The 13734-nt window shown below is 41.4% G+C and overlaps 1 protein-coding gene across 2 annotated transcripts in view, besides 2 other annotated features; it reads right to left on the bottom strand.

Annotated features, from left to right (window-relative positions):
* The window catches only part of CRTC3 (CREB regulated transcription coactivator 3), a 115423-nt gene that overhangs the window by 69835 nt on the left and 31854 nt on the right, over positions 1–13734 (bottom strand). The window lies entirely within an intron of this gene.
* Positions 11729–11858: a silencer, noted in NCBI's record as "silent region_6824". NCBI's record gives its function as "represses an Ori minimal core promoter by ATAC-STARR-seq in GM12878 lymphoblastoid cells {active_cell/tissue: GM12878}" and the evidence as "EXISTENCE:reporter gene assay evidence [ECO:0000049][PMID:35858748]".
* Positions 12130–12630: an enhancer, noted in NCBI's record as "H3K4me1 hESC enhancer chr15:91106113-91106613 (GRCh37/hg19 assembly coordinates)". NCBI's record gives its function as "activates a minimal SCP1, AML or CMV promoter by ChIP-STARR-seq in naive H9 embryonic stem cells {active_cell/tissue: H9 hESC(naive)}" and the evidence as "EXISTENCE:reporter gene assay evidence [ECO:0000049][PMID:30033119]".

The raw sequence follows: 13734 nt of genomic DNA, 5'->3' as shown, positions 1-13734 counted from the left end.
ACACTGCATACCTTACACTGGCATAAGCACATGATGGATCAAAGATTTTATATTTGAAAATAAAGGTATAAAGTGTTAGCAAAAACAAAAGAAGATAACTTTCTAACTATAACAAAAAACCTGGGAGCAACCAAAAAGGCATTAACTTTTCTTTTTTTTGAGACGGAGTTTCATCCTTCTAGCCCAGTCTAGAGTGCAATGGCACAATCTTGGCTCACTGCAACCTCCGCCTCCCGGGTTCAAGCGATTTTCCCGCCTCAGCCTCTTGAGTAGCTGGAATTGCAGGCACCTGCCACAACGCCCATCTAATTTTTATATTTTTAGCAGAGACGGGGGTTTCACTCAGTTGGCCAGGCTGGTCTCGAACTGCTGACCTCAGGTGATCCACCCACCTCAGCCTCCCAAAGTGCTGGGATTACAGGAGTGAGCCACTGCATCCAGCCAACATTAACTTTTGATACATGAAAAAATTGTAATGTCTGTTAGAAAAAAAATTTCAGTATAAAGAAAGTCAAATGACAAGTGGCAAATGTGGAAAATATTTACATCTCATATCACAGATAAATGGCTAGTTTTTCTAATATATAAAAACTCCTAAAAATCAGTAAGAAAAAGATCAACCACACAAAAGAATTAAAGGCAAAAGATATGAACAGATTGTTCACGGTAAACATAATACAAATGGTTCATAAACAGGAAAAAACACACGTTACTCATAAGAAAAATGCACAAATTAAAACTAAACAGAAACATAATTTTTCTACTATGTAGACTAACAGAGATCAAACAGTTTGACAAAACACTGAGTTGGGGAGGATGTGGGCAAACAGGCACTTTCATATACAGCAGAGAGGAATGTACAACTTCTAGGGAGGGTGAACTGACAATATCTACTAAAACTACACATGCATATGCTTGTGCCCCAGCAACTTCACTTCTAGTCATTTTTCTTGCAGCTATACCTGTATATGTATGAAACTGTATGTGCATAATGTTGTTCATTGAAGCATAGTTTTTTTGTTTTGTTTTGTTTTGAGACAGAGTCTCGCTCTGTCACCAGGCTAGAGTACAGTGGCGCGATCTCGGCTCACTGCAACCTCCGCCTCTCAGGTTCAAGCTATCCTCCTGCCTCAGCCTCCTGAGTAGCTGGGACTACAGGTGCGCACCACCACACCCAGCTAATTTTTTGTATTTTTAGTAGAGACAGGGTTTCACCATGTTGACCAGGATGCTCTCGATCTCTTGACCTCGTGATCTACCAACCTCGGCCTCCCAAAGTGCTGGGATTACAGGTGTGAGCCACCACGCCCGGCCAATAAGTTTATATATTTTTTTAAAATCTGTAAATTACTTAAATGTTCATTAATAGGGAACTAGCTGAATAAATTATGACAAAGTCATATAAAAGAATACTGTGTACTAATTTTTAAAACAGATAAAGGTGTACTTTGTGAACTGACATGGGAAGATCTCCAAGATGTATTATTCACTTAACTTTATTCACTTAACTTCATTCAAGCAAGGTACAGACATGTGTATGGTCAACTATCTTCAGAGAAAAGTGTGGCATGAGGTGGACTATATATTCACATTTGCTGATACATACATAAAATATTCCTGAAGGAATAAATAAACGTGACAACAGTGGTTGCACCTGTGGGGAGTGAACTGGGTGGCTAGGACAGAGATGGAGAGGATACTGTTCACTGCACTTTTTGCTTATCTTTAATCTTAGACCACATGAATGTATGTTCATATGTATCTGCCTAAAAACATAACTAAAAGTAAAATCAAAGAACATATTACAAAGTTACAATAATATACTGATGTGGAAATGGACAGAGGAATAGGTAGCCATATCAATGGGAAAAAAAACAGTAAAAAACAGAACAAGCTATGTAAAAAAGAAATTATTCAAGAATTGAGACAATAGATTAGCTACAGAGGAAAAAAAAAATGGGAACCCTCTCTCAAATCTCACATCAAAATAAATTCCAAAGTAATAATAGCATTAGAATACAATATGGATGAAAAACGGGTGAATGTTTAAGAAATCTTGGCATGATTAAGGCCACTCTAAACATACTAGAAATTGTAACACAGCAGTCACAGAAAGACCAACACATTTAACTCATACAAATTAGAGCATAAAACTCCCAAACAAAAACTACTAGATGGAGAAAATATTTGGAATATACAAGGAAGATTACGGTAGACAGACTCCAAGGTATCCCACAATGATGTCCACCTCCTGGTGTTCACGCCTTTGTGGAATCCCCGCCCTTGAGTAGAGGCAACACCTGTGACTTGTTTCTACCCATTATGCTAAGTGAAATAAGCTGGTACAAAAAGACAAATAGTGTGTAATTTAACTTGTACGAGACACCTAGAATAGTTAAATTCATAGAAACAGAAAGTAGAATGGTGATTCAGGAGCTAGTGGGAGGTGGCATGGGGAGTTGTTAATAGGTACAGAGTTTCTGCTTTGCAAGATGAAAAAGTTCTGGAGATCTGTTTTACACAACAATGTGAATATACTTAACACTAATGAACTGTAAACTTAAAAATAAATCAAGATGTTAAGTTTTAAGTTATGTGTTTTTTAACCACAGTTTTTTTAAAAAATGGATATATTGGCGGGGCATGGTGGCTCACGCCTGTAATCCCAGCACTTTGGGAGGCCAAGGTGGGCAGATCACCTGAGGTCAGGAGTTTAAGACCAGCCTGGCCAACATGGTGAAACCCCGTCTCTACTAAAAATACAAAAATTAGCTGGGTATGGTGACGCACAGCTGTAATCCCAGCTACTCAGGAGGCTGAGGCAGGAGAACTGCTTGAACCCGGGAGGTGGAAGTTACAGTAAGCCAAGATTGCACTACTGCACTCCAGCCTGGGTGACAGAGTGAGACTCCATCTCAAAAAATAGAAATCAAAAAAAGGATATATCCAGTGGGGAAGAGTATATGAAAGAACAGACACTCATATGTTGGTGAGAGTAGAAATTGATATCACCTTAACAGGGAATAATACGGTAATATCTACCTTAATTTTAAATGTACAACCCTTCTTACCCAGCTATTTTACTTCTAGGAACATATCTCACAAATACCCTTATGTAAATATCCAACACGATATCATAACAAGAATGTTCCCTGCAGTTTTCCTCTGTAATAGTGAAAAACTAGACATAATCTAATTGTCTCTCAATAAGAGACTGGTTATATAAATGATGGGATAGCTACATAAATGGCTGTGCTGCTGTCATTAGAAAGAATATATATCTTTAGGTACTGACATAGAAAGATACCTAAGGTGTATCAAGTTCTGCCTTTTTTTTTTTTTTTTTTTTGAGAAAGAATCTCGCTCTGTCAGCCACGCTGGAGTACGATGGCGCAATCTTGGCTCACTGCAACCTCCGCCTCTTGGGCTCAGGCAATTCTCCTGCCTCAGCCTCCCAAGTAGCTGGGATTACAGGCACACACCACCATGCCCAGCTAATTTTTGTATTTTCAGTAGAGATGGGATTTCACCATGTTGGCCAGGCTGGTCTTGAACTCCTGACCTCAGGTAATCCACCTGCCTCGGCCTCCCAAAGTGCTGGGATTACAGGTGTGAGCCACTGCACCCAGTCAAGTTTTGCTTTTAAGATGGGAGTTATTCAGTATAGCATGATTCCATTTGTGTAGAAAGAAAATATGTATATACACACACACGCTTGCATATACTTCCCAGAAAACTGCAGAAAGGGTGCAGATGAAACACTTAGCAATAGGTACCATGGGGATTAGAACTGGGGGGAGGGTGTGAAGTAGAGAAGGGGAGACTTTTACTTTTCATGTTTCATGCTTCCATATTATTTGAGTTTCTACAACAAATTTGGAAGAATAAATAAGTGAGCAAGCAGGCAAGCAAATGAATATCCTTCCAATAGCTTTACACCGCCTTAGGACAAAATCCAAATTCCTTAATAAGAAAGCAAAGTCCTTTGTGATCTGGTTCCTACTTCAAGCTCCAGCCTCATCTCTCACCACTCCCTTCTCATGCTCAATCTATGCTCCAGTGTCACCAAACTTTCAGTTCCTCCAAGCTTTGCCAAATGCAGCTTCTTTTGCTTAGAACACTCCTCACTCCAATCTTCAGTTATATAGCCCTCAGGTCCCAGCTTAGTCACCTCTTCCTCCAGGAAGCCTTTCCTGGGACCTCCTCCCAACCCGTTTGGGTTAGGCACCACTCGGACACAATCCAGCCACTCTCTGAACTCCTCTATTGTGGGTTTGTCACATGGTGTCACAATGACTTGTAAAATCATCTGCCTCTCCCACTGGACTGAAGTTCCGCCAAGCAGTGACTGTGCCTGTCTGGGTCATTGTATCTCCAGCATCAAGCATTGTGTCTGACACGCAGTGTCCAATAAATATTTGTTAAATTGGACTTTTATTATTAAAAAAATATAACCACATTATGGACAATTTAGGAACGTAGAAAAGGGGAGGATTATAATTCTACCTTCCAAATACAACCACTATTTTCATCCAATGTTTTTGTTCCTCGTGTAGTTTTTTTCATAGCTGTATTCCCCCAAGCTGTGCCCTTCAGACACAGTCGTTTTGGTCAGGGAACATTTTGCTGCACTCTGCTGAAGCACGAGCCTTTTGTAAGCCAAAGTAAAGATCACTGTTTTTATCATCAAGTAATGTGTGTAACAGACCACAGACACCCCAGATCCTCTCTCATCACAAACCATCTCTCATTTCTGGGGACTTTGGCTTTGTATTTCATTAATTACTGGCTTGAACTCTTATGAGGATGCATTACTGTTATCCGGACCTCAGGTAATTCACCTGCCTCAGCCTCCCAAAGTGCTGGGATTACAGGTGTGAGCCATGGTTTTTAAAGAACCATGATTTGTTTACAGCCGGCTGGGTTAGCATCTAAAGAATTACTATTCTTTCCCCAAAAAAATCATTATAAAGGAGTGTTATATAACATATGTATTACTGAAGAAATTGTCAGGGATTTCACTGAGGATGTCCCTAACAGTGGTGGAGTCAAGAGTAAGGGCTCATACTGATGCCCACATAACCGACTTTTCTAATGAGGGTCTATAAAGAGAAACTCAAGAATTTGAGAGAAGAAACCCACATGAGATACAAGTGACTTCTTAGACCATCTCCGAGCCCTGCCTCATCCCTCATTGTCCCTCCATCCCTCACACCCACCTGAAATCAGAGGCTGGCAACTGGCAATGAGACTAAGGCACAGAAGTAGAGTCTCTGTTTTGCTCATTACTTGACAATTTTTTAAGCCACATTTTTAAAAAAGTAGTGTCAGAAGCTTTTGGCAATGTCAAAAAGACACTAAAGACAAACAAGTTATGTCCTAGCAACTGTGTGAAAACTTCATATACTCCTATAACCATCAGTCCATATAATTGTATTCCTTTTTAAGTATTTTGTTCAACATAGTAATATATTTTTTCATGTAGCTGAAGTCTTTACATTCATAATTTCAAACTGCACTGAGCTGATAGATCATATTTTACTGAAATCAATTACTCACTATAATAAATAATATTACAACATTATCAGGCTACAGGTTTTCTTTTCAGATATTAAATTACTTTCTTAGGATAGTGTCCCCAAAGTAGAATCTGTCAAATAATATTACTATCTTAACATCCTTTATATATATTCCAAAACTGTTTTTGAAAAGATGTCAGCCTAGGCAATATAGTGAGACTCTGTCTCTACAAAAAATAAAAAATTAGCCAGGCATGGCGGGGTGAACCTACAATCCCAGCTACTTCAGAAGCTAAGATGGGAGGATTGCTTGAATCTTGAAATTTGAGGTTGCAGTGAGCTATGATCACACCTATGCACTCCAGCCTGGGTGACAGAGCAAGATCCTGTTTCTAAAACAAAAAGCAAAAAAGACGTATACCAATTTACAACAGGTATATGTCTCAGGAGTTTGAGACCAGCCTGGCCAACATGGTGAAACCCCATCTCTACTAAAAATACAAAATTAGCCAGGTGTGGTGGCGCATGCCTGTGATCTCAGCTACTTGGGAGGCTGTGGCAGGAGAATCGTTTGAACCAGGGAGGCAGAGGCTGCAGGGAGTCAAGATCACACCACTGCACTTCGGCCTGGGCAACAAGAGCAAAATTCCATCTCAAGAAAAAAAAAAAAAAAAAGGTTTTGTTTACAGGCCATGTATGGTGGCTCATGCCTATAATCCTAGCACTTTGGGAGGCCAAGGCAGGAAGACGGCTTAAAGCCAGGAGTTTGAGACCAGCCTGGGCCAAAAAGAAAAACTCTATCTCTACAAAAAAATTTTTCAAATGAAAATTATTAGCTGGGCATGGTGGCATATGCCTGTAGTTCCAGCTACTCAGGAGGCTGGAATGGGAAGACTGCTTGAGCCCAGGAGTTCAAGGCTACAGTGAGCTATGATTGCACCACTGCACTCTCGCCTGGGTGACCGGGAGAAACTCTGTCTCTTTAAAAAAAAAAAAAAAGTTTCGTTATACTTGTTTACACCATACTGTAGTCTATTAAGTGTGCAATAGCATTATGCATGAAAAATATATACACTTTAATTTAAAAATACTTTATTGCTAAAAAATGCTAAGGATCATTTGAGCCTTCAGTGAGTTGTAATCTTTTTCCTAGTAGAGGGTCTTGCCTCGATGTTGAAGGCCACTGATTGATCAGTGGTGGTTGCTGAACGTTGGGGTGGCTGTGGAAATTTCTTAAAATATGACAACAACGAAGTTGGCTGTATCAACTTCCTTTCACAAAAGATTTCTCTGTACCATGTGATGCTGCTGGGTAACACTTTTACCCACAATAGAACTTGTTTCAAAATTGGAGTCAATAGGTCTGTAATCCCAGCACTTTAAGAGGCCAAGGCAGGTGGAACACTTAAGGCCAGGAGTTCAAGACCAGCCTGGCCAATATGATGAAACCCCATCTCTACTAAAAATACAAAAATTAGCCAGGCATGGTAGCATGTGCCTGTAATCCTAGCTACTCGGGAGGCTGAGGCAGGAGAATCGCTTGAACCCATGAGGCAGAGGTTGCAGTAGGCTGAGATTGCACCACTGCACTCCAGCATGGGTGACAGAGCGAGACTATTTAAAAAAAAAAAATTGGAGTCAATCCTCTCGAACTCTACTTCTGATTTAATAAACTTATGTGGTATTTTAAAATCCTTTGTCATTTTAACAATGGTCACAACATCTTCACCAGGAGTAGATTCCATCTCTAGAAACCACTTTCTTTGCTCATCCACAAGAAGCAATTCCTCATCCATTCAAGTTTTATGAGATTGCAGCAATTCAGTCACATCTTCAGGCTCCACTTCTAATTCTAGATCTCTGGCTATTTCAATCACATCTGCAGTTACTTCTTCCACTGAAGTCTTGAACCCCTCAAAGTCATCCAATAGGGTTAGAAGCAACTTCATCTAAACTCTTGCTCATGTTGATAAGGTTGTGACCTCTTCCTATGAACCATGAATGTTCTTAATGGCATCTAAAAGAGTGAACCCTTTCCAGAAGGTTTTCAGTATGCTTTGTGCCATGATCCATCAGCGGAATCACTATCTATGACAGCTATATATAGCCTTATGAAATGTATTTCTTAAATAATAAGACTTGAAAGTTGAAATTACTTCTTGATCCATGGGCTGCAGAACAGATGTTGTGTTAGAAGGCATAAAAACACTAATCTTCTACATTTCCATCAGAGCTCCTGGATGATTAGGTGCACTGTCAACGAGGAGTGATATTTTATTTATTTATTTATTTATTTATTTTTTGAGACGGAGTTTCACTCTTGTTGCCCTGGCTGGAGTACAATGGCACAATTTTGGCTCACTGCAACCTCTGCCTCCCGGGTTCAAGCAATTCTCCTGCCTCAGCTTCCCGAGTAGCTGGGATTACAGGCATGCGCCACCATGCCCGGCTAATTTTTTCTATTTTTAGTGGAGACAGGGTTTCACCATGTTGGCCAGGCTGTTCTTGAACTGCTGACCTCAGGTGATCCACCTGCCTCGGCCTCCCAAAGTGCTGGGATTATAGATGTGAGCCACCAAGCCCAGCCAGGAGTAATATTTTAGTTGTTTGTTTTTTATCAACCAAGAAAAAGCACTGAATTGAGCAGCAATATTTTGAAAGGAATCTTTTTTTTCTGAGCAGTAGGTCTCAACAGTGGGCTTAAAATGTACAGTAAACCATGCTGCAAACACATGTACCGTCATCCTGGCTTTGTTATTCCACTCATACTGCACAGGCAGGGTATATTTAACATAATTCTTAAGGGCCCTAGGATTTTAGGAATGGTAATAAGCGTTGATTTTGAAACCACTTCAAGTCACCAGCTGCATTAGTCTCTAACAACAGAATCGAAGTGTCCTTTGGAGCTTTGAAGCCAGGAATTAAAGTCCTAGATGGCATCTGCTTCCAAAAGAGACTGTTTCATCTATGTTGAAAATGCAGGCTGGGCACGGTGGCTCACACCTGCAATCCCAGCACTTCAGGAGGCCAAGAAGGGTGAGTTACCTGAGGTCAGGAGTTCGAGACCAGCCTGACCAACATAGTGAAACCCTGTCTCTGCTAAAAATACAAAAATTAGCCAGGTGTGGTGGCGGGCACCTATAATCCCAGCTACTCGGGAGGCTGAAGCAAGAGAATTGCTTGAACTTGGGAGGTGGATGTTGCAGTGAGCTGAGATTGTGTCATTGCACTCCAGCCTGGGCGACAGAGCAAGACTCTGTCTCAAAAAAAAAAAAAAAAGAAAGGAGGAAAGAAAATCTGTGGCTGAGTGCAGCCACATTCAGCAATGACCTCAGCCAGATCTTCTGGATAACTTGCTGCAGCTTCTATAGCAGCAATTCTTGCTTCATCCTGTACTTTTATGTTATGGAGTTGGCTTCTTCTTCCTCTTTTTTTTTTTTAATAGACAGAGTCTTGGTCTGTCACCCAGGCTGGAGCGCAGTGGCATGATCTCGGCTCACTGCAACCTCCGCCTCCTGGGTTCAAGCAATTCTCCTGCCTCAGCCTTCCAAGTAGCTACGACTACAGGCACACGCCACCATGCCCGGCTAATTTTTGTATTTTTAGTAGAGACGGGGTTTCACAATATTGGCCAGGATGGTCTCAAACTCCTGACCTCAAGCGATCCACCCACCTCAGCCTCCCAAAATGCTGGGATTACAGGCATGAGAAACTGCGCCTGGGTGAGATGGCTTCTTTCCTTAAACCTCATGAACCAACCTCTGCTAGCTTCAAACTTTTCTTTTGTAGCTTCCTCAGCTCTCTCAGTCTTCATAGAACAGAAGAGAGTTAGGCTTTGCTCTAGATTAGCCTTTGGCTTAAGGGAATGTGGTGGCTAGTTTGATCTATCCAGACCACTTAAACTTTCTCCTTATGAGCAAATAAGGCTGTTTCACTTTCTTATCATTTGTGTGTTCATCAGAATAGCACTTAATTTCCTTCAAGAATTTGTCCTACCTTGGCTTTCAACATGCTTTCCTCACTAACCTCAATCATTTGCAGCTTTTTATTTAAAGTGAAAGACATGCAACTCTTTCTTTCACTTGAACACTTAGAGGCCTAATTTCAATATTGTTATCTCAGGGAAGAGGGAGGCCCAAGGAGGGGGAGAGACACAGGAATGGCTGATCAATGGAGCAGTCAGAAGACACACAACATTTCTCTTGATTAAGTTCACCAACTTATGTGGGTGATGTTCACGGGACCCCAAAACAATTACAACAGTAATACCAAAGATCACCGATTACAGATCACCATAACAGATATAATAATGAAAAAGTTTGAAATGTTGCAAGATTTACTGAAATGCAACAGAGACATGAAGTGAGCCACATGCCATTGAAAAATGGCACCAATAGACTTGCTCCATGCAGGTTTGCCACAAACCTTCAACTTGTAAAAAGCACAGTATCTGTAAAGCAGAAAAAGCAAACCACAATAAAACAAGGTGTGCCTGTATACAAGAGCACATTGCATTACCCACTCACCAACACTGAATATCACTCAAAAATTTGTCCTAATTTAATGGGTAAAAAGGCTAAGTTATGACTTTGATAATTAGCCTTTATTGGCATTTATATGCTCTAGGTACAGTGTTAGATGCTTCGTATACATTATCTCGTTTAATCCTCACGACACTGTGAAGTGCTACTATTATTATCCCCACCTTACAGATTAAGAAACCGAGACTTAGAAAGCTTACATTGGCCAGGCACGGTGGCTCACACCTGTAATCCCAGTACTTTGGGAGGCTGAGGTGGGTGGATCACATGAGGTCGGGAGTTCAAGACCAGCCTGACCAACATGGAGAAACCCCGTCTCTACTAAAAACTAAAAATACAAAATTAGCCAGCGTGGTCACGCATGTCTGTAATCCCACCTACTCGGGAGGCTGTGGCAGGAGAATCGCTTGAACCCGGGAGGCAGAGGTTGCGGTGAGCCAAGATCGCATCATTGCACTCCAGCCTGGGCAAAAAGAGCGAAACTCCATGAAAGGAAGGAAGGAAGGAAGGAAGGAAGGAAGGAAGGAAGGAAGGAAGGAAGGAAGGTTGGTTAAATTGTTGAACACAAGGCTTGTAATGGGTAGAGACAGGCTTTGAACCCAAGCTGCCTTACTCTTGAGTCCATACTCTATCCATTCCTGCCTATGGTATCTTATTGTTTTAATCTATGTGTCATTGCTTACAGTGACAACAAATACACTCCCAGATGTTTCTTTGCTGGTTAGGTTTCCTATTTTCCTGATTTTTCTAACCATGGCAAATTCGAAGGGTCAGAGGTAGCTTAGAAGGTGGAGTTTTAGAGATAATGGTTTGACCATGGGCAAGACAGAACTGGTAGTAAAAGCAGATGAGAAGCAAGAAAAGAACATCAGTAGTAACTGCAGGGACTAGTCTCGGGGCCTTTGTAGCCTTTACTGGATGGCGGGGATGATAAGTTCCACAAGCTAAAAAGGCCAGACGTAGGGCAGAGAAAATAATAGAGGAGGGTCTAGCTTCTGGTCCTCTGAACAGCTTCAGTAGTTCCTAAGAACTATTTGCACACTTTTTTCTTGTGTGTGAAGGCAAAGGAGCAGCTACTACCAACCCTAATGATGTCATAGGGTTAACAAATAAAGAAATCAGGAAATGGTTTCTTTTTTCTTCAAGAAATACTCTGGTTGAATTTCCTCAACAGGTTTCAACTTCTGCATTCAGAGAAAATAGTTCTGTTTTAGTAATTCAACAAAAGAACAAAACACTGCCAGACGGAGAGCTGGTAGTTACTAGCATGAACTCCAGAATCAAAGAGCCTGGACTTCAAATCTGGCTTTACCATTTTTGGCTGTGTGATGCAGGGAAATTGTTTAATCCTTCTTGGCCTCCACAGTCTTCCCTGTAAATAGAGACAGTAATAGTACCTACTCTGGGGTTACTAGAAAGAGTAAATGATGTATGCAAAGCCTTAGTTAGCCATATTGCCTGATGCACAGCAAAAGTTCAGTACATTTTTGCCAGCAGTGGTCATGATAGAAGTGGTAGAAACACTAATATAAATGGCAGTAATTTTGTTTGAAAAAAAGGAAGGAAGGCGGGAAGAAAGAAGGAAAGAAGGAAATTATTTTTTCTATTTCATTCAAAAACAAAGGGCAAATATGTTGATCAAATGGTATGAAGTGGCTGAAAACCTTCAGACTAAGTAAGCAGAACTTGATTCCTGTACCAGCCACTTACTAGCTGAGTAATGTTGAGCTTATTACCTATTTTTTCTTGCTCTCGGTTGGCTAACCTTAAAGGGGGAGTGTTGCATGAAAAGTGCTGCACAGTCCATTGTGGTTCTAACAGTTCTGATGCCTCTGCCAGGGCAAGTAGTGCAATACAGAAAGATGTCTGTGCCAAGTGAGAGCCATCCGCTCTTAGCAGAAGCTCGGTCAAGGCTATGCTTTGCTCCTCATTAAATGTTTCCCCTTTAATATTCTTCTCTCTGCTTCACTTGAGTTATATTTTAACTCAAGTTTATAAGCTGTTTTAAAACTTTTATTTTTATTTTATTTATTTATTTATTTTTTGATACAGAGTCTCACTCTGTTGCCCAGGCTAGAGTGCAGTGGAGTGATCTCTACTCACTGCAACTTCCGCCTCCTCGGTTCAAGTGACTCTCCTGCCTCAGCCTCCCGAGTAGCTGGGATTACCGGCATTGACCACTCCATCTGGCTAATTTTTGTATTTTTAGTAGAGACAGGGTTTCTCAATGTTTGCCAGGCTGGTCTCAAACTTCTGACCTCAAGTGATCCACCCGCCTCAGTCCCCCAAAGTGCTGGGATCACAAGCATGAGCCATCATGCCCAGCCCGTTTAACTTTTAAATGCTAGTTCTAAATTAATTAATTCTAAATGAACCCCCAAAACTTCTCGGAGACTAAGCAGGCACGGACTGGTAGAAAGCGTCTCTTGAGCAATTTCATGAATGACAAGATGGCAGAGTAAGAGATACTGAGAGAGACAAGCACAGGCATGGCCAGTGCCCAGCAGCCACTGCAAGGGGGAGTCACAGCCTGTGTGGCCTGGTCTGCTCCTGTTGGCCCACCCCATTCTCACTGGCTTTCTGACCTTTTGGCTCCTGCTTGCGGCTGGTCTGGCTTGCCCCCTCCAGTGTCAACTGACCCCCCTCTTCCATCCAGGCTGTTGCCTCCCAACTCTGGCCTTTCTTAACCAAGTTCCAGGGTGAGACTCTCAGTTCAGGCGAGTTAAGACTCACCCAAGGAGAGACTTCCTAGGTAGTCAAGGGAAGGAAAGTTTGATTTGGACTAAAAGTAGTAAAAAGATTTCTCAGGTGGCCGGGGGAGTGAATAAGCAGAATATATTCTAAGACGAGAAACCAAACAAAAGTGGTACTAAACTGGGCATACGATGGTTCCAGGGGACTAGAAAACGGCATCTATCCAGACTGAGAAAAACAAAGCATAAAACACGTTTCCTAGGTAAAAACAAATTGGTTTTGTGTGTCTACACTTGCTTAATTTGCAAAATAAGAGCAAAGGCCCGAGAAAGATAAACCTGGGTTTGAGTCCTGACTGTCACTTGCCACTTGTGTGACCTTGGGCATGTTACTGTTTAAGCATCAGTAAAATGGGGATGATAATGCCTATCTCAGAAGGTTGATGTGGGAACTCAATGATATCAGGTACACAAAGCATAGCTCAGGTACTCAGTAACTGTTCGTGTTCTTCTCCTCACCACTCTTAAACTTCTGTCATATGTCTGTGGGGAAGTGTTTTCCCTTGCACTCAAGAAAACTAGCATAAAAGAAAGTGGTTACCCTGGTGACTTCCTCCAAAGAGGTTACAGGAGAAAATGGGGAGGGGAGAGCTTTCTCAAGTCACATCCCCAAGAGGCTGGCGGTAGAGACAGAAAAGAGCTAAGACATTAGCTATCTGTTGTCGAGGCAGCCAACTGCTTATAGCCAGGGAGTTCCTTGAGGCACTGACTATTGCCTTTGAGCAGGGAAATAATTACAATGTCTGGCATCAAGGCCTGTGTAGAATCTTCCACAGATGTTATTCTGTCTCTTGGAAAATATCCACAGTAATAATAAACAACTAAAGCTTCATTTTAAGTTTAAAGTATAAAAACTAGCTGTTTCATAACATAGGGACCAATTCTAACTCCTGACTATTGTGAAATTTTGTAGGGAATTGG

This window comes from Homo sapiens, chromosome 15 (genome assembly GCF_000001405.40).
Source record: "Homo sapiens chromosome 15, GRCh38.p14 Primary Assembly".
In the NCBI taxonomy this organism is placed as follows: Eukaryota; Metazoa; Chordata; class Mammalia; order Primates; family Hominidae; genus Homo; species Homo sapiens.
The sequence above is the reverse complement of the archived record's forward strand: the minus strand, read 5'-3'. Positions and strand labels throughout refer to the sequence as shown.